General features: G+C 41.5%; 1 protein-coding gene across 29 annotated transcripts in view, besides 1 other annotated feature; it reads left to right on the forward strand.

The window, feature by feature from the left end:
* The window catches only part of ATF1 (activating transcription factor 1), a 57,704-nt gene that overhangs the window by 22,975 nt on the left and 14,312 nt on the right, over nucleotides 1-20,417 (forward strand). For 19 of the 29 annotated variants that reach the window (NR_182081.1, NM_001412963.1, NM_001412969.1 and 16 more), the window contains one exon: nucleotides 9,476-9,576. The exons of 1 other annotated variant lie outside the window; for it this stretch is intronic. Coding sequence is in view for 14 of the 28 variants with exons in the window: in NM_001412963.1 (NP_001399892.1) it covers nucleotides 9,476-9,576 (101 nt within the window). In the remaining 14 variants the exon portion in view is untranslated. Of the gene's footprint in view, nucleotides 1-1,774; nucleotides 1,893-5,103; nucleotides 6,111-9,464; nucleotides 9,577-20,417 lie in introns of those variants that run through there. 9 more of the 29 variants (NM_001412970.1, NM_001412972.1, NM_001412982.1 and 6 more) reach the window with 3 other exon arrangements.
* Nucleotides 697-1,626: an enhancer, noted in NCBI's record as "H3K27ac-H3K4me1 hESC enhancer chr12:51180913-51181842 (GRCh37/hg19 assembly coordinates)". NCBI's record gives its function as "activates a minimal SCP1, AML or CMV promoter by ChIP-STARR-seq in primed H9 embryonic stem cells {active_cell/tissue: H9 hESC(primed)}" and the evidence as "EXISTENCE:reporter gene assay evidence [ECO:0000049][PMID:30033119]".

The following is a 20,417-nucleotide window of genomic DNA, read 5'->3' on the forward strand; positions in this document are numbered from 1 at the left end:
CTGCAGACACAAAGACAGTTCATACCCTCTTGTAGGTTTTTCTCCAAGGACCTCCAGCAGTTGCTTAGGAGAAAAATGGGGCTGGGGACACAAGGGAGACCAGAGAATGCCTTGGTAGGTGGTACAGGCCCACTTGGACCTTTTTTTCCTTTGGAAAAAAAGGCTTTAAGCCGCTGGGAAAAAGGAAATAAACCCAGTTTTCCATTGTGTCTGGGAAAAGTAAAAAGAAAAAGAAAACCCACAAACCCTGAGGGAACGGCAGGAAACTGTTAAGGGCTTAGACTATTAGAGTTTTTCTGCCACTGGGAGAAAGCCCCAACCCCTGTAACCCAGGGACATAGGGCCTACCTGAGACTGAGACTGGGCCAGGACAACAAAGAACCTCCCTGTTGGTGCTGTCAAGTCAAGCAACAGCAATCTACCCCTGGGGGAGGGACAAGAGTATGGAAAGAGCCTCTTTGGGGCAGATGCAGAGATGAAGCCTAAGGCTGAGTGTGTGGCAAGAACAATGAGAAAAACCCTCTGACATACCAGCCCCACCCTAAGCAGAAAGTCATACTAGAGGAATTTGAAGCTGGTAGTACACTTAAGGTAATCCAAACAACAACAAAATCCAAACCCAGCTCAGTTCCTGAATAGATGACTCAACCCCTTCCCTACGCACACACACACCCTAGTGAAGAGGTGTACTCTCTTGTTTTCCCATTTCTGAAGATAAATACTATTTACTTTAGTCTCTAGTGTCTTACCCATGATGTCTGTCATTCAGGCAAAAATTATAAAACACATACCAAAAGCACACAAAGAAGCAACTCACTGTCAAAAACCAAAACAATAAACAGAACCAGACTCAGGATAACCCAGCTGTTGGAACTATCAGAGAGTGAATTTCAAATAAGAATGAATAATATGTTAAAGGCTCCAGTGGGAAAGGTAGAAAACATGCACAGACAGCTGGGGAATTTCAGCAGAGGGTTAGAAACTATATGAAAAAGTCAAATGGAAATGTTAGAAATAAAAATGGTGTGGTGGCTCACGCCTGTAATCCCAGCAATTTAGGAGGCCGAGGCAGACAGATTGCTTGAGCTCAAGAGTTCAAGACCAGCCTGGGCAACATGGCAAGCCTCCATTTCTACTAAAAATACAAAAGAAAAAAAAAAAGCCAGGCATGGTGGTGCACACCCTGTGGTCCCAGCTACTCAGGAGGCTGAAGTGGGAGGATTGCTTGAGCCCAGTGGGCAGAGGTTGCAGTGAGCCAACATCGCACCACTGCACTCCAGCCTAGGTGTCAGAGTGAGGCCTTGTCTAAAAAAAAAAAATGGTGACACAGGTGAAGTATATGTTTGGGTTTATTAGTAGACTTGACACAGCTAAGAAAAGAATCAGTGAACTTGAAGATAGGTCAGTAGAAATTACCCACAACGAAAACAGAGAACAAAGGAAAGGGCAGGGAGAAAAATAGAGCATCCAAGAACTGTGGAATAATATCTCTTTAACATAGGTGTAGTGTGATCAAAGTCATGTGACTAGATGGGATTACTGAGAGGTAAGTATTGTAGAGATGAGTCAATGGATCTGGGCTTCTTTAGCATTTGGAGTTTGGGGACATTGAAGAGGGATTGTCAGTGAGGTAGGAGGAAAATCAAGAGTAACTCAAATATTGGAAATCAGAATGAGTGATGGTCAGCTGTGTAAAATGTGGCTGATAGGTCAAATAAGATGAGGAATAAAAATTAACTATTTTATAGCCAATCTTTTTTTTTTTTTGACATAGGGTCTCACTCTGTCACCCAGACTGGTGTGCAGTAGTGTGAACATAGCTCACTGCAGCCTTGACCTCCTGTGCTCAAGCAATCCTCCTGCCTCAGCTCCCCAAGTAGCAGGGACCACAGGTGTGTGCCATCACATCCGGCTAAACTTTTTGTATTTTTTTGTAGAGATGGGGTTTTGCAGTGTTGCCCAGGCTGGTCTCAAACTCCTAAGCTCAAATAATCTGCCCACCTCAGCCTCCCAAAGTGCAGTGCTGGTATGCGTGAGCCACTGCACCTGGCCCTGTTTTTTTTTTTTTGGAAACCGAGTATTATTCTGTTGCTTAAGCTGGAGTGCAGTGGCATGATCATATTTCTTTGGCCTCAAATTCCTGCCCTCCAGTGATCCTCCTGCCTTTGCCTCCTGAGTAGCTAGAGCTGGTTCCTATTATTCACAGATTCTGTATTTGCAAATTTGCCTACTTGATAAAATTTATTTCTAACTCCAAAAACACTCACGGCACTTTTGCGGTCATTCATGGACATGTGCAAAGTGGCAAAAAATTTGAGTCACTCCTATATTCCTGGCTGAGGTCAAACAAGGTGATGCTGTGTCTTCTTGCATCAGCTCTCATAGTATAAACAATTGGCCTCTTTGCGGTCTAGTTAGTATAACTACATTTTTTGCATTTTTCTCCTTTTTGTTGGTGATTTTGCTATTTAAAATTGACTCCCAAGTGTAGTACAAAGTGCTATCTTGTGTTCTAAGTGCAAGAAGGCTGTGATGTGCCTTATGGAGGAAATACATGTGTTAGATAAGTTTCATTCAGGCATGCGTTACAGTGCTAGCGACTGATACGTAGTTCAGTGTTAATGTATATTAAATGAGGTTTTTTTTGTTGTTTTTTTTTTTCGGAGACAGAGTCTTGCTCTGTTGCCTAGGCTGGAGTGCAGTGGTGCAATCTCAACTCACTACAACTTCCACCTCCACTTCCTGGGTTCAAGCAGTTTGGGTAGCTGGGACTACAGGCGTGCGCCACCATGCCCCGCTAATTTTTGTAATTTTAGTAGAGACGGGGGTTTCGCCATGTTGGCCAGGCTGGTCTTGAACTTCTGACTTCAGGTGATCTGCCCACCTCGGCCTCCCAAAGTGATTACAGGTGTGAGCCACCATGCCTGGCCTGTTTACTATTTATTTTTATTTGTTCCTGCTCTATTTTAGATTTTGGACTGATAATTTAGAATCTAGAATCTTTATAATGTAAGTGAACCAGTGGACAGAGAAGTAGTATGAAGTTCTGGCAGAGTGCAGTGGCTCACACCTGTAATCCTAGCACTTTGGGAGGCGGGCGGATCACATGAGGCCTGGAGTTTGAGACCAGCCTGGCCAACATGGTGAAACCCCATGTGTACTAAAAATACAAAAATTAGCCGGAAGTAGTGGGCGCCTGTCATCCCAGCTACTCGGGAGGCTGAGGCAGGAGAATCGCTTGAACGCAGGAGGCAGAGGTTGCAGGGAGCCGAGATTGTGCCACTGCACTCCAGCCTGGTTGACAGAGTGAGACCCTGCCTGCGCCCTCCCACCAAAAAAAAAAGATTGGGGGACCAGGTCCTCCCTTTCCTCCTTTGAAAGGTCTCTCAATATTTAGATTATCAGGTTTGAGAGTGGGGTTGGGAAGAGAATCAGGACTTTGAGACCCTGAGTAATGAGCATTTTGTGAGGTTAGACGAACCGTAGTAATAAGGGATAGGGACTACCACTAGCTAAATCAAAATCTGGTGCCTATTTTCCTTTTCAACCTGACAGACCCATAGCCTGCATTAAATCACATGGATTGCCAGAAACCTTTGAGGAATGATGGCCCTTAGTCTTTTAGAAATGTAGATTAATCCTATCATACGCTCTCTCCATTAGCTGAGTGGCTTCAGTTATTGAAAGGTGGGGAGACGTTTTGTTAATGTTTTCCAAGTGTAATGGTAACTCTAGAGCTGGACTCTCAAGACTTGTGGGTTCTATTTTTTTTTTTTTTTTTTTTGAGACAGTTATTACTTTGTCACCCAGGCTAGAGTTGGAGTGCAGTGGCGCAATCACAGCTCACCACAACCTCCACCTCCTGGGCTCAAGCAATCCTCCCAGCTTAGCCTCCCACATAGCTGTGACGATAGGCATGCGCTGCCAAACCTGGCTAATTTTTGTATTTTTTGTAGAGACTGCATTTTACCTATGTTGCCCAGGCTGGTCTTGAACTCCTGGGCTTCTCTTGTCCTCCTAAAGTGCTGGGATTATAGGTGTGAGTCCCTGCACCCAGCTCTTTGTTTATTCTTATTCTTCAATTTCTCTATGCCCATATTGGGGTACTGTCAAAGAGGAACAGAGCTGGACATATGTTAAAGGCAGCAAGACAGATTTTATCAGATTACTGCAGTATAGGAGAGAAACTCCAACATAAACTGAGCTCAGCTCCACTGAAACAGATGGAAAGCTTTTTAAATATTGGGGTGTTCTAAAGGAAAAGTACATAAGATGTTTGGGGGAGGGAAGGAATTGTCACTATGATTAGCCGTCCTGCTTGCTCATTGGCACTTGTCAAAGTTGGCTCCTACTCTCCCACAGACTGGGAGACAGGGACCAAATCTTTTCTTTCTTGGTTACTACATTTACAGGCCCAAAGAAAGATTTCTAGGTTTTAGAATGTCTACATCTCATGGGACAGAGAAAGGATTCATAACAGCAAGTTTTCTAAAATGCTGTAAGAAAAGTGAGGATGGGGCCTATAGTCAAGTTTTGGCTGGAACAAACAGTAAAATTTTTTGGTAGAATTGAACTTTCTCAGGCAGGTGTTTTAAGGGGGCTCTGGTGTCATTCTAGGGACACAACCTTGGCATGACAAAAGCCATTGGTCAAGAATTTGGTCAGTTAGAATGGCATTGTTTGTGCTACAAATGGAGTTTACAGTTCTTAGTGGCTGGATAAATTTTATACAGAATTTCATGACCCTAGGCATTTTGAGGGATGATGAGACTGGGGTTTGTTTAATCTAGTCTTGGGATGAGGAAAAGAACTTTCAGTGAAAGAAGAAAGGGAACAGGAAGGCTGGGTGCGGTGGCTCACGCCTGTAATCCTAGCACTTTGGGAGGCGGAGGTGGGCGGATCACCTGAGGTCAGGAGTTCGAGACCAGCCTGGCCAACATGGGGAAACCCCGTCTCTACTAAAAATACAAAAATTAGCTGGGCGTGGTCACGCATGCCTGTAATCCCAGCTACTCTGGAGGCTGAGGTAGGAGAATCGTTTGAACCCAGGGGTGGAGGTTGCAGTGAGTCTAGATCGTGCTACTTCACTTCAGCCTGGGAAGGAGTGAAACTCAGTCTCAAAAAAAAAAAAAGAAAAACAGGGAAAGCAGTATTCTTGGAGCCCAATGTGAAGAAGGAGAACAGGGGAGCAGGAAGGAAGCTTACTTTCAAGTCCTGAGAAGTAGTCCAGGATTTTATTTTGTGATTTAAATCCAAGAGTAATGGTATGGACCAGAGTAGTCCAGAGGAAGGCATGAGATCTCTGTTAACTGAAAATATTTGAGAAAGCTTTTTGGAAGAGGTAGGACCTGAGGTGAGCCTGGAGGGATGATGAGTGGACTTTTCTTAGTTTAGCATTTTATCATGGTATTTCCATGAAACCGCATCTGATTTCAACAGAAATAAATTACAATTTCATGATTCAGTCATTTACTTGAAATATATATATATATTTTTTCAAGATGCTGCCCGAAGTTGGTGTTTCACTCACTTTTTGTCTCTTGGTTTCTTGGTTAGTTTTCAACCATATCTCTTCAGAATAGCATGTGCTAAAGATTCTCCATGTTTTTGCACAATCAGTTCCTCTGCCTAAAATACCTTCCAGTCCCCTAACTCCTGCCCCTCCATACATACCCTCAGGTAATTGTTAATTATTCAAAACCCAGATGAAATAACACCCTTTCTTTGCTCCCACAGAACAGTACTTTGTAATTTTCCTCTATTATAACTCTTACTCTATTTGTTATAGTTAGTTTGTACTCTCAATCCCTAGTTCAGCCTCTGGTCAATAGAAGGTACCTAATGTTTGGTTAATGATGCGATTAAATATAATCAGCTCTGAAATGTGTTTCCAGTGTTAAGAACTCAGCTATCTTATGTGCATAGGTACAATATATATTTTGTTAATTGAATTTGTATTTGTTCTATTGATGTCATTAAATGGATCTGCGCCAGTGACAATTATACGTCTTCCTGGAGAGCAAGTACAGATTCAGGGGGTCATCCAGACAGCCCAGTCTTCTGTAATTCACCCACCACATGTGCAAATGATACAGAAATTTGAAGACTTAGTGGTCGAGAGTTGGAACTTTTATACCCTGAGTCTTCAGATACATTTCAGTTGCTGTACCTATAATATATAAACCAAGATAAAGTTGTCTTACAAATTAGACTGCAGACCAAATCAGGCAAATAGAAAAGTTTTAGAATTTCTAGTTTCATGTATATAATACCTAGTGAAAATAGAAGACAATTTTAGGGAAAGTTATTGCTTATGATTTAAGGAAATGAGGGACTTTTTTTTTTTAAAGGGAAAGCACCCTTTTATCCCAGGTATTTTCTATATGCTTTATGGAGTTAGTACCTACCTACCACATGCTTTATGGAGGTCAAATAAAAGAGTTCTCTTGTAGTAGAGGAAAGTTCTTATTTGTATTTATCTACCTTCATATTAACACCTTACAAAAGTACGAAAGAAAGAGCCATCCTAGATTCCTTTTCTTTCTACTTTTCCCATTTTATAGTCCCAGAATACCTTTGGTCATCTCTCGTTTTTAGAAGCAGCTCTCCTAGAAGAAAAGCTATATTCCTCCTTTCTTCTCCTGATTATGGCAATGTTGTAAAAACTAGAGCTGCATCTTTATGTGGTACTCCCATGTGAAAGGAGGTGGCTGCATGGATTTTTTTAGTGTTTATATGGAAATTTTAGTCTTATTTGCTGGTGCTGTTATTAAAGATAAATTTTTGATTTTAATTACAAGTAATTCCTTAGTTTTACAATTTATTTTCTTAAGTTCAGTGGAAGGCTTTGGAGTAAGCTTAGGAACAGACAGTGTAGTTAAAGAATTAGATTAGAAATGAAGTATTTTATGGCCAGGTGCGGTGGCTCATACCTGTAATCCCAGCACTTTGGGATGCTGAGGTGGGCGGATCACGAGGTCAGGAGTTCGAGACCAGCCTGGCCAACATGGTGAAACCCCATCTCTACTAAAAAATACAAAAATGAGCAAGGCATGGTGGCAGGTGCCTGTAATCCCAGCTACCCAGCTACTTGGGAGGCTGAGGCAGGAGAATCGCTTGAACCCGGGAGGCAGAAGCTGCAGTGAGCCAAGATTGTGCTATTGCACTCCAGCCTGGGCGACAAGAGCAAGACTCCATCTCAAAAAAAAAAAAAAAAAATTTATGATGCTTGAGGAAAAGAAAAGTGACAGATTTTTCTTAATTATTGGTTATTTCTTAATTATTATTGGGTTATGACTAATTCTTTTCTGTATAATGATATAGATTTAATATGAAATATAAATGAGTAGTTATATACTAGAACTCATTTTTGAAGGAAATAACATATAAAAGAAGCCTCTCTGGAAATTTCATGTCTAAATAGTTTAGGGGAAGGCTTTCTATAGATAGTAACTAATGTGGAGAATTGATTTCTTATGTCCCTTCTAAAGGCCTGTTTGGGTTATTTTTTATTTATTTTTATTTTTATTTTTTTTGAGCGGGAGCCTCGCTGTGTTGCCCAGGCTGGAGTGCAGTGGCGCGATCTCGGCTTACTGCAAGCTCCACCTCCCAGGTTCACGCCCTTCTCCTGCCTCAGCCTCCCGAGTAGCTGGGACTACAGGCGCCTACCACCAGGCCCGGCTAATTTTTTGTATTTTTAGTAGAGACGGGGTTTCACCGTGTTAGCCAGGATGTTCTCAATCTCCTGACCTCGTGATCCACCCACCTCGGCCTCCCAAAGTGCTGGGATTACAGGCGTGAGCCACCGCGCCTGGCCTGGGTTATTTTATTTTTAAAAATTAAGATGAAGTCGGCCAGGCACAGTGGCTCACACTTGCAATCCCAGCACTTTGGGAGGCTGAGGCAGGTGGATCATGAGGTCAGGAGTTTGAGACCAGCCTGACCAACATGGTGAAACCCCATCTCTACTAAAAATACAAAAATTAGCTGGGCGTGGTGGCACGTGGCTGTAATCCCAGCTACTCAGGAGGCTGAGGCAGGAGAATCACTTGAACCCAGGAGGTGGAGGTTGCAGTGAGCCAAGATCGTGCCACTGCACTCCAGCCTGGGCGACACAGTGATACTCCATCTCAAAAAAAAAAAAATTCAGATGAAGTCGGATATCACAATCTAACTTTGGACAAATGTTGGAAAGTTTTAATACGCTTAAAAAATTGAGGCCAGACATGGTGACCCATACCTGTAATCCCAGCACTTTGGGAGGCCTGCTTGAGCCCAGGAGTTTGACACCAGCCAGGGTAACATAATGAGACCCTGTCAGAATAAAAAAAAATGAATTAGCTGGGCATGGTGGTGTGCACCTGTAATCCTAGCTACTCAGGAGGCTCAGGCTGGAAGATTGCTTGAGCCCAGGAAGGCGACGCTACAGTGAGCTGTCATTGCACCACTGCACTTCAGCCTGGGTGACAGAGTGAGACCCTGTCTCAAAAATAAAAAAATTAAAAATATTTAAAAAAAAATTGAAAACAACTTGTTTTCTCAATTGTAAAATATTGCTATAACTTGCATATTATATTGATGTAGTTTATAAAAATTAACATTGTATGCATGCCAAGTGTTGCATGTATTAACTTGTGAAATGAGATAAAATTGAATCATACAGATTTTAAAATGGCATATATTTATACCTGCCATTGCCAGTGACCTCCACCTTGCTAAATCGAATGGTCTGTTCTCAGTCTTTATTTTATCTCAGCTTGTAAACAGCATTGGACATGGTTGATCATTCTTTTCTCCTCAGTATGCTGTCTTCACTAGTTTTCCATGGACAGCTCAATCATTTGGTTCTCTTCTTTACTGGTGACTCCTTAGTCTCATTTGCTGGTTCCTCCTCTTCATCCAGTCTCTTAGTGTTCCTGAGGTTAGTCCTCAGTCCTCTTCTATTTACCCCTATGAGCTCATCCAGTCTCATGGCTTTAAGGACTCTAAAAAGCTAGACCTCCAAAATTTATGTATCTAGCCCAGACCTCTTCCCAGACCTACAGGCTTGTATATTTAATATTCGTCTCAATGTCAGCAGTTGAATATATAACAGGTTTTTCAAACTTAGCATGTCAGGTAGATTAGTAATAAAACAACACTTTTAAGTAATGTGCATCAGTGTAGAAATAGGGTGGAGAATGACATCAGAGCCTGGTCTTTTTAACTCTGGTAAAATAGTACTGCTTCATTTGGGGGACAGACTTTATTCTCAGCTCTGGGCCTGCTATATTTGATATTCCTTTAATAGGTTGGGCTCCTGGAATAAACTTTCTCATTTTTCCTTTTCCTTTTGTTCCTTTCTTTTAGACTTTAGATTTAATGTACAAATGAATTGGAGTGGCAGGAGACAGATCATTTTTTTCTAAAAGTAAAAATTCAGTTGTTTCTTTTCCCACCTGCATTGTTCATCATGTTAATGCCAGTTCTTTTTTAGGTATCATCTTTATCAGAAAGTGAGGAGTCCCAGGACTCATCCGACAGCATAGGCTCCTCACAGAAAGCCCACGGGATCCTAGCACGGCGCCCATCTTACAGGTGAGTACTCTCTTGTATGAAGCCCTGCATGTTATGATAGTACCAAATGAGTTCAAGAGGTGCTGTGCAAAGTACACTAAAGAAGTTAGCACGCGTCAGTGTTAAGAATGAAATTGGTTGGCCCTCGCCTATAATCCCAACCCTTTCGGAGGCCGAGGTAGGATTGCTTGAGCCCAGGAGTTCAAGACCAGCCTGGGCAACATGGCAAGACCCTGTCTCTTCAAAAAATACAAACCTTAGCTGGACATAGTGGCGCACGCCTGTAGTCCCATCTACTTAGAGGCTAAGGCGGGAAGATGGCTTGAGCCCAGGAGTTTGAAGTTACAATGATCTGTGATTGTGTCACTGTGCTCCAGCCTGGGTGATAGAGCAAGATCCTGTCTCCAAGAAAAAATGAAATTGGACCTTTGGCCGGATGCAGTGGCTTATGCCTGTAATCCCAGCACTTTGGGAGGCTGAGGCGGGCAGATCACCTGAGGTTAGGAGTTTGAGACCAGCCTGGCCAACATGGTGAAACCCCGTCTCTAATAAAAATAGAAAAATTAGCCGGGTGTGGTAGTGCACACCTGTAATCCCAGCTACTTGGGAGGCTGAGGCAGGAGAATCACTTGAACCTGGGAGGCGGAGGTTGCAGTGAGCCGAGATTGTGCCACTGCACTGCAGCCTGGGCAACAGAGCAAGACTCTGTCTCAAAAAAAAAAAAAAATGTAAATTTAATCTTTATCTTACACCATTACACAAATCAACACCAAATGGATAAGAGACCTAAATGTTAAGACCTGAAACCATAAAAATCCTAGAAGAGAACATAGGCGATAAGCTCTTCGACATTGACCTTGGCAATGATTTTTTGGATATCACACCAAAAGCTTAGGCTACAAAAAAATAAATAAATGGGACTACGTCAAACTAAAAAACGTGTCTGTGTAGCAAAGGAAACAAAGCAACAAAATGAAAAGGCAACTTACGGACTGGGAAAAAATTATTTGCAAACCACTTATCTGATAAGGGGTTAATACCCGTAACTGAAGACAAAATGAGAGAACCTGAGGATACAGCTCTGAGTAGATTACCTAGAATGGAACACAGAAAGACAAAGTTAAGATAGAACACAGAATGAGAAGGTCCAGTACACAACATACATAGATAAAAGGAGAGAAGAGGGAAGGGCACTTCCAGCTTCTAGTCTCTCCAGGAGAGAAAATGATAATGACTGCAATTTCCAGGATATGAATTTCTCAGCATAAGAAAGCAAGGTCCCAAACAAGATAAATTAATAGAAACCTACATCTAGGTGTATGTTGTAAAGTAAAACTGGAGAACACCAAGGATAAACCTGAGATCTTAAAAGCTAAAAGCTTCCAAGTGAAAAGACCAATTACCTAGAAAGGAAGGACCAGTAAGCTGACAACAGATTTTTGAAGTACAGTATAAGACAATGAACTAAAATCCTTATTTTTATCTTTAAATTATTACATGTTTTTTTGAGACGGAGGTCTCACCCTGTTGCCTGGGCTGGAGTGCAGTGGTGTGATCACAGCTCACTGCAGCCTCAACCTCCTGGGGTCAGCTCCTCAGCCTCCTGAGTACCTGGGACTATAGGCATATGCCATGATGCCCACCTAATTTTTTTTAATTTTTGGTAGAGATAGAGTCCCACTATGTTGACCAGGCTGGTGTCAAACTCTTGGGCTCAAGTGATCCTCCCACCTCAGCCTCCCAAAGTGTTGCTATTACAGGCATGAGCCACTGTACTCAGGCTCCAATATTTAAATTCAAAGAGAAAGTAACTTTTGACCTGGAATTCTGTGCCTACTGAACAGTCTTTCAAAAATGACGGTGAAATAATAATCATTTTCAAACTGATTTAAGAAACTACTTAAGGAGGCTGGGTACAGTGGCTCACGCCTGTAATCCCAGCACTTTGGGAGGCCGAGGCGGGTGGATCACTTGAGGTCAGGAGTTCGAAACGAGCCTGGCCAACATGGAGAAACCCTATCTCTACTAAAAATAAAAAAATTAGGTAGGCATGGTGGCACATGCGTGTAGTCCCAGCTTGAACCCAGGGGGCGGAGGCTGCAGTGAGCTGAGATCGTGCCACTGCACTCCAGCCTGGGTGACAGAGTGAGACTCCATCTCTAAAAAAAAAGAAAAAAGAAACTACTTAAGTGTATACTTCAGGAAGAAGAAAATGAAAGGAATATAAATGTGAGAAAGTATGGTGAACAAAGACAATTCATTTCAGTTAGCATTGGCTTTTTAGAACAATAGTAATAATGATTAATTTGGGTAGTTTCATGGTTGTTGTTTTTTTTTTGAGATGGAGTCTCGCTCTGTCATCCAGGCTGGAGTGCAGTGGAGTAATCTCGGCTCACTGCAAGCTCCGCCTCCTGGGTTCATGCCATTCTCCTGCCTCAGTCTTCCGAGTAGCTGGGACTACAGGCGCCCGCCACCACACCTGGCTAATTTTTTGTATTTTTTAGTAGAGACGGGGTTTCACTGTGTTAGCCATGATGGTCTCAATCTCCTGACCTCGTGATCTGCCCACCTTGGCCTCCCAAAGTGCTGGGATTACAGGCGTGAGTCACCATGCCCAGCCTGAACCTGAGATTTCTTTATTAAGTAGGGGTCTCTCAGGAAGGCTATAACATCTGAAAAGAAACTTCTCAAAGTTAAGCTTTCTGGATTGCCACAGATTAGTATAAATCAAATACGAATTCACTCAAAAATCATCAAACGTGCAAGGACATAAACCACGTAAGTGAGAATTGGCAGAAACAATACAGTCAACTCAATAAATGCTGGGAAAAAAAGTATTTGATTAAATCCAGCACCTCATACATTTCTACCAAAAATGAATAAAAATGGGCTTCCCTAGCATATGTAGACTTTTAGAACTTAACTATGTATAGGACAGATCACCATTGCCCAAATTCTAGACTGGCCACTACCTGGTGCACATGTGTAATAGATATGAATAGCATTGCAAAGACTTTGGAAACTGAACTGACATTGGAACCACAACCCACAGAAGGCTGATCAGAACTTGTGGCCTGGACACAACCAGATTGATACCTTCTAAAACAAGAATATAGTCTAGGTCTGTGGCTCATGCCTGTAATCCCAGCACTTTGGGAGGCTGAGGTGGGAGGACTACTTGAGTCCAGGAATTTAAGACCAATCTGTGTAACATAAGGAGATCCTGTCTCTACAAAAAATACAAAAATTAGCTAGGTATGGTGGTGTGTACCTGTAGTCCCAGTTACTCAGGAGGCTGAGGGCAGAGGATCACTTGAGCCCAGGAGGTTGATGCTTCAGTGAGCCATGATTGTGCCATGCACTCCAACCTGAGTGACAGAACGAGTCCCTGTCCCAAATACACACATGCACATGCAACAAGAATATAAAACATTTTTTATTAAACAAGACCCAGAGTCTGATAGCATAATATTCAAAGAGTCCAAAATTACTTGGTATCAAAGAACAAGGAAAAATCTCAACTTGCACGGGAAAAGACTGTTGACAGAAGCCAACTCCTAGATGATACAAATGTTGGAATTATATGACAAGGACTTTAAAGAAGCTATTATTAAACTGTTCCAACAAGTAAGTGAATTTTCTTGAAATGAAAGGTATAAACTCTCGGCCAAAAATAGAGCATATAAAGAGAATAAAATAGAGATTTCAGAGCTAAGAAACACAGTAACAGAGATAAAACCTCATTGGATGGGTTCAATAGTAGAATGGAAATGAGAGAAAAAACGATCAACTTTGAAGATTATTCAATGGATATTATCCAATCTGAACATAGAAAAGAGATTGGAAAATTATCTAATTCTCAGCGACCTGTGCGACAATAATTAAAGATCTAAGATTTATGTCATTAGAGTCTCAGAAAGAGAGGAAAAAAGTATAGCGCAGAAAAAATACTTGAAAAAATAATGGCTGAAAAATTACCAAATTTGGTGAAAGACGTAAACCTACAGGTTCAAAAACCTCAGCAAACTCTAAACAGGATAAACACAAATAAATCATTGCCCAGACTTACCATAATCAAACTGCTGAAAGCTAAAGTTAAAGAAATCTTGTGAGTAGCCAGAGAATAATGGCACATTACTTACAAGAGAACATTGTGAATGACTACAGAGTGCTCATCAGAAACTATGGAGGTGAGAAGATAATGGAATAGCATTTTTAAAGTGCTAAAAGAAAAAAGAATTATCTCCTGGGTCTTGGCACCCAAAATTCTATGTCTACTGAAAACATCCTTCAGACTTGGAGGTCAAATAAATATTCTCATCAAGGGAAACTAAGGGAAATAATTGCCAGCAGACCTGCTGTAAAACAACTGCTAAGAAAATTCTTAAGACGAAAGAAAGTTAAGGAATGAAGAAACAGCAACAGAAATATCTGGGCAAATATAATGGACAGTTCCTCTCCTATTGAATTCTTTAAAATAGGGGTCCCCAAACCCCAGGCCGTGGATTGGTACCTGTCTGTGGCCTATTAGGAACCAGGCTGCACAGCAGGAGGTGAGCAGCGGGTGAGCGAGCCTTAGCACCCAAGCTCTGCCTCCTGTCAAATCAGTGGCATATTAGATTCTCATAGGAATGTGAACCGTGTTGTGACCATGCGAGGGATCTAGGTTGCATGCTCTTCATGAGAATCTAATATCTGATGATCTGAGATGGAACAGTTTCATCCTGAAACCATCCCCTGACTTCCCTATCCATGGAAAAATTGTCTTCCACGAAACTGGTCCCTGGTGCCAAAAGGGTTGGGAACTGCTGCTTTAAAATATATTTGATGGCTGGGCGCGGTGGCTCATGCCTGTAATCCCAGCACTTTGGGAGGCTGAGGCAGGTAGATCACCTGAGGTCAGGAGTTTGAGACCAGCCTGACCAACATAGCAAAACCCCGTCTCTATTACAAAGATAAAAACTTAGCTGGGCATGGTGGCAGGCGCCTGTAATCCCAGCTACTCGGGAGGCTGAGGCAGGAGAATCACTTGAACCTGGGAGGTTGCAGTGAGCCGAGATCATGCCACTGCACTCCAGCCTGGGCGACAGAGCGAGACTCTGTTTCAATCAATCCATCAATCAATTTGATGGCTGAAAACAAATTATGAAATTCTGATGGGGTTTTTAATGTGTGCAGAGGTAATATATAAGACATCTACAACATAAAGAGGGAAATATAAACAGTTCTAATATGGTGGTAAGGTTTCTACATTCCACCTGAAGTGGTAAAATAGTGATTCTATGTAGACTATAAAAAGCTAGGTATCTATATACCCCTAGAGCAACTACTAAAAAAAAACTACACAAAAAGATTTAGTCAAATATACAGTTGCTTAAAAATTAAATTTTGAAAAGTCTTCAAATAATCCAAAATAATGCAGGTGCAGGAACACAGAAGAATTTTAAAAACAGAATAAACAGAAAGCAAATAATAAAGTGGAAGATCAGCCAATACTGAAGATGGCCTACACTCACCAATTAAAAGGCAATTGTAAAACTAGACCAATATCCTTCATGAATATAGACACAAAAAATCCTCGACAACATATTAGCAAACCAAATCCAACAACATGTAAAAGGTAGTATATGCCATGACCAAACAGGATTTATCCCTGAAATGCAAAATTGGTTTAATAATTGAAAATCAATTAATGTAATACATCATATTAATAGAATCAAAACAAAAAACATATGATCATCGCAAGACACAGAAAAAGCATTTGACAAAAATCCAGTTACCATTTCATGATAAAACTGCTCAACAAATACATAGAAGGCTGCTTCCTCAACCTAATAAAAAGGGTCTACGAAAAACCCACAACTAACATCCTAATAAGAAAATAATGTGGATATCCCCTCTCACCACTTCTAAACATTGCACTCAGGGAATTAGTCAATAAATTAAATAAAAGGCATCCTGATTGGAAAGGACTAAGTAAAACACTTTGTACATGACAGTATCTTATATATACAAAATCCTAAAGAATTATTAAAATAGAACTAATCAACAAGTTCCAGCAAGGTTGTAGGATATAAGATCAATATAACAAAAATCAACTGTATTTCCATATACTAGCAATGACTAATCCAAAAATGAAACTTAAAAACAATTCTATTTACAATAACAAAGTATAAAAGGTTTAAAATTAAATTTATAAATTTAAATTATACTTAGATATGAATTTAACAAAAGAAACAGAACACATATACTGGAGGCCAGGCACAGTGGCTCATGCCTGTAATCCCAACACTTTGGGAGGCCGAGGCAGGCGATCACCTGAGGTCAGGAGTTTGAGACCTGCCCGGCCAACATGGTGAAACCCCATCTCTTCTAAAAATACAAAAATTAGCCAGGCCTGGTGGCACGCGCCTGTAGTTCCAGCTCCTCAGGATGCTGAGGCGGGATAATCGCTTGAACCTGGGAGGCAGAGGTTGCAGTGAGCTGAGATTGTGCCATTGCACTCCAGCCTGGGTGACAAGAGCAAAACTCCATCTCAAAAAGAATACATATACTGGAAACTATAAAACCTTGTTGAAAGAAATTTTAAAAGATCTAAGTAAGGCTGGGAGCGGTGGCTCACATCTGTAATTCCAGCACTTTGGGAGGTCAAGGTGGGGCAGATCACGAGGTCAGGAGTTCGGGACCAGCCTGGCCAATATGGTGAAACCCTGTCTCTACTAAAAATACAAAAATTAGCTGGGTGTGGTGGCCCGCACCTGTAGTCCCAGCTACTCGGGAGGCTGAGGCAGAAGATTCACTTGAACCCAGAAGGCAGAGTTTGCAGTGAACTGAGAATGCACCACTGTACTCCAGCCTGGGTATCAGAAGGAGACTCCATCTCAAAAAAAAAAAAAAAAAAAAAAAGATCTAAATAAGTGAAAAGACATCTCATGTTGATTGATCAGAAGACTAAATATTAAGACCAAATTAAAAAATGAGCAAGGAGGGGGCTGGGCATGGTGGCTTATGCATGTAATCCCAGCACTTTGGGAGGCCAAGGTGGGTGGATCACCTGAAGTTAGGAGTTCAAGACCAGCATGGCCAACATGGTGAAACCCCGTCTCTACTAAAAAAAAAAAATACAAAAAATTAGTCAGGCATGGTGGCGGGCACTTGTAATCCCAGCTACTAGGGAGGCTGAGGCAGGAGAATCGCTTGAACTGGGAGGCAGAGGTTGTAGTGAGCCGAGATCGCACCACTGTGCTCCAGCTTGGGTGACAAGAGCGAAACTCTGTCTCAAAAAAAAAAAAGCAAGGGATTTGAATAAAAATTTCTCCAAAGAAGATAAACAAATGACTAATAAACCTATGAAAAGTTCAACATTTATCGTTAAGGGAATTGCAAATCAAAATTGTGAAATACTGCTTCAAACCCACTAGGATGACTAAAATAGAAAAAAAAGACCAATAATAAGTGTTGGTGATGATATGGAGAAATTAAACCTCTCATACACTGCTGGTAAGAATGTAAAAAAAAAAAAAAATAGTACAGTTGCTATGGAAAACAGTCTGGCAGTTCTTCAGAATACTAAGTTACCATATGACCCACTGCTTCCTATGCTACTTATATACCCAAGAGAAATAAAAACATACATTTATATGAAAACTTGTTCATGAATGTTTATAGCAGCATTGTTTATAATAGCCAAAACATGGAAACAACCCAAATGTCCATTAAGTGATGAATGGATAAACAAAATGTGGTGTATTCATAAAATGGAATATTTTTACTTAGCAATTAAAAAGCAATGAAGTGCTAATACATGCTACAACATGGATAAACCTTGAAAATATTAAACTAAAAGAAGTCATTTGCAAAAGATTGCATATTGTATGATTCCATTTATATGAAACGTCCAAAATAGACAAATTTATAGAAACAAAGTAGGCAAGTGGTTGGTTAGCGCTTGGGAGAGAGGACAGAAGAATGGATTGACTGCTAATGGGTACCAAGTTTCTTTTAGGGGGACAAAAGTGTTCTAAAATTAGATTATAGTGGTGGTTGCACAACTGTTAATATACTAAAAACACTGAATTGTATGCTTAAATGAATTGTTTGGTATGTGAATTATATCTCAAAGCCACTTTTCTTTAAAAAGACAAAGATTATTAGAATGGATTTTAAAAATGATTCACTTCAAAAATTATATAGCTAGTCTAAAGTAAAAGGATGGTTAAAGACATACCACGAAAACACTAATGAAAAAAACTAACATGGCTATATTAATGTCATATAAGATAGACTTCAGAATAAGGAAAATCTGCAGAGATAAAGGACATTACATAATGATAAGAGTTCACCAAGAAGACATAATCCAAATGTGTATGCATCTAACAAAAGAGCTTTAAAATATATTTATCAAAAACTAGTAGGGCAGAGCCCAGTGGCTCACACCTGTGATCTCAGCCCTTCCAGAGGCCAAGGAGGGAGGATTGTATGAGCCCAGGAGTTCAAGACCAGCCAGGGCAACATAGTGAGACCCTGTCTCTTCACAAAATTAAAGTTAGCCAGGCGTGGTGATGTGTGCCTCTGGTCCCAGCTGCCCAGGAGTTGGAGGCTGCAGTGAGCTATGATTGAGCCACTACACTCTAGTGTGGGTGACAGCAAGACCCTATCTCTAAAAAGAAACTAACAGAACTGAAAAGAGAAATAAACAGGTCCACAGTTGCAGTTGATGATTTCAGTAAACCTGTCTCAGGATACATTAGAACTTACAGTCAGAAAATCAGAAAGATTATAGAAGAACCTAATGCCAGATGATATCAGAAGCCAACAAGATCTTTTTTTTTTTTTTTTCCCGAGACGGAGTCTCACGCTGTCACCCAGGCTGGAGTGCAGTGGCGCGATCTTGGCTTACTGCAACCTCCGCCTTCCAGGTTCAAGCAATTCTCCTGCCTCAGCCTCAAGTAGTGGGGACTACAGGCGCCCACCACCACGCCCAGCTAACTTTTTTTGTATTTTTAGTAGAGACAGGGTTTCACTATATTGTCCAGGCTGGTTTCGAGCTCCTGTTCTTGTGATCTGCCTACCTCGGTCTCCCAAAGTGCTGGGATTACAGGCATGAGCTTGGCCTAATTGACATTTTTATAACACTTGACCCAGCAGCTGTAGAATGAAGAAAATCTGCCAAAAAGTACCACATTCTGGGTCATAACAAATCTTAACAAATTTAAAAGAACTGAAATCATGCACAGTATGCTCTGTGATCATACTGGAATTAGAGTAGAATAATAGGTACAGGAAGGCTAGGCACGGTGGCTCATGCCTGTAATCCCAGCACTGTGGGAGGCCGAGGTGGCCAGATTGCTTGAGCCCAAGAGTTTGAGACCAGCCTGGGCAACATAGGGATACCTTGTCACTACAAAAAAATACAAAAAATTAGCTGAGTGTGGTAGTGCATGCCTGTAGTCCCAGCCACTCGGGAGGCTGAGGTGGGAGGATCACTTGAGCCTGGGAGATCAAGGCTGCAGTGAGCCGTGATTGTGCCACTTTACTCCAGCCTAGGTGACAGAGTGAGACCCTGTCTGTCTCAAAAAAAAAAAAAAAAAAAAACCTTTTGTGATTCTTAACCCATTGTGACCAAATGGTTCTTAGGTAGGGAATGTCTATGTAGTAAGTCTCCTTATTAATATTTTCAAGCATGAATAATTAGTTCTTTCCAGTGTGGTTCTTACAGACATTTGCAGGGTTACCATGTTTTCCTTCCTTATGAACACTCCCATCTTTACACTGAATTTGGAGTTTTCAGGTCTTGCTCTTAAGTCAGATATCAAAAGAAAGACTGAGAAGCAGACTTGGTGGCCAATTATTTGCATTACAGTGTTGAGAAAAAAAATAAAGCCAGGCACAGTGGCTCACATCTGTAATCCCAGCACTTTGGGAGGCCCAGGTGGGCAGATCACCTGAGGTCGGGAGTTCAACACCAGCCTGGCCAACATGGTGAAACCCCGTCTCCACTAACAATACAAAAATTAGCCGGGTGTGGTGGCGCACGCCTGTAATCCCAGCTACTCAGGAGGCTGAGGCAGGAGAATTGCTCGAACCTGGGAGGCAGAGGTTGCATTGAGCCGAGATTGCACCACTGACTCCAGCTTGGGCAACAAAAGCGAAACTGTCTCAAAGAAAAAAAAAAAAAAGAAAAAAATAATTGCTAGTAGATGTTTTTTCCTAAATCATTTAGCATTTACCAACTGTCCAGACCAAAGGTCATTTTCAGCTAGGAAAGTTCTGATTTCAACCTCTCCATTGGCCCATACGCAGCACAACTTATCCTGTTCCCAAGTACTCATTGAAGAACTTGTTTACTTGGCTGTCATTGACACCAGATGGGCTTGTAGACACAAAATGCCATAAGGATGACAGTTATCAGCAGGATGCTGACAATGGTTCCCATCAACACCAGGTTCTGCCTGCACAGCACCACACAGGGCGGGCTTTGCTCCAGCAGATCCATGGGGCTCAGGGCCTCTGCCTGCCCCACCAGGAGGCTGCACAGGCCAAGGCACAGCCACGGCAACGCCAGATGCAGCATCTTCCCCTGTACTTTTCTTTATACTCAAAGTGTTTCATAATTTAAAATGGAAAAATAAATGGGTGCAGCATTCCACAGTCTCATGATAGACTGGCTGTAGGACCATGCAGGCATTGGACAGAGGTGTACTTGTGAAAAAAAAAAAAAGACCATGCAGGCAGTTTGTTAAATGGATCTGGAGCTCTACTCTAGACCTACTTACTCAATGATTATGGCCACCAGATGGGAATCTAGATTCAACAAACCTCTCCAGAATGATTCTGTTACATAGGCAGGTTTAGGAAGCACT

This window comes from Homo sapiens, chromosome 12 (assembly GCF_000001405.40).
Source record: "Homo sapiens chromosome 12, GRCh38.p14 Primary Assembly".
Lineage (NCBI taxonomy): Eukaryota > Metazoa > Chordata > Mammalia > Primates > Hominidae > Homo > Homo sapiens.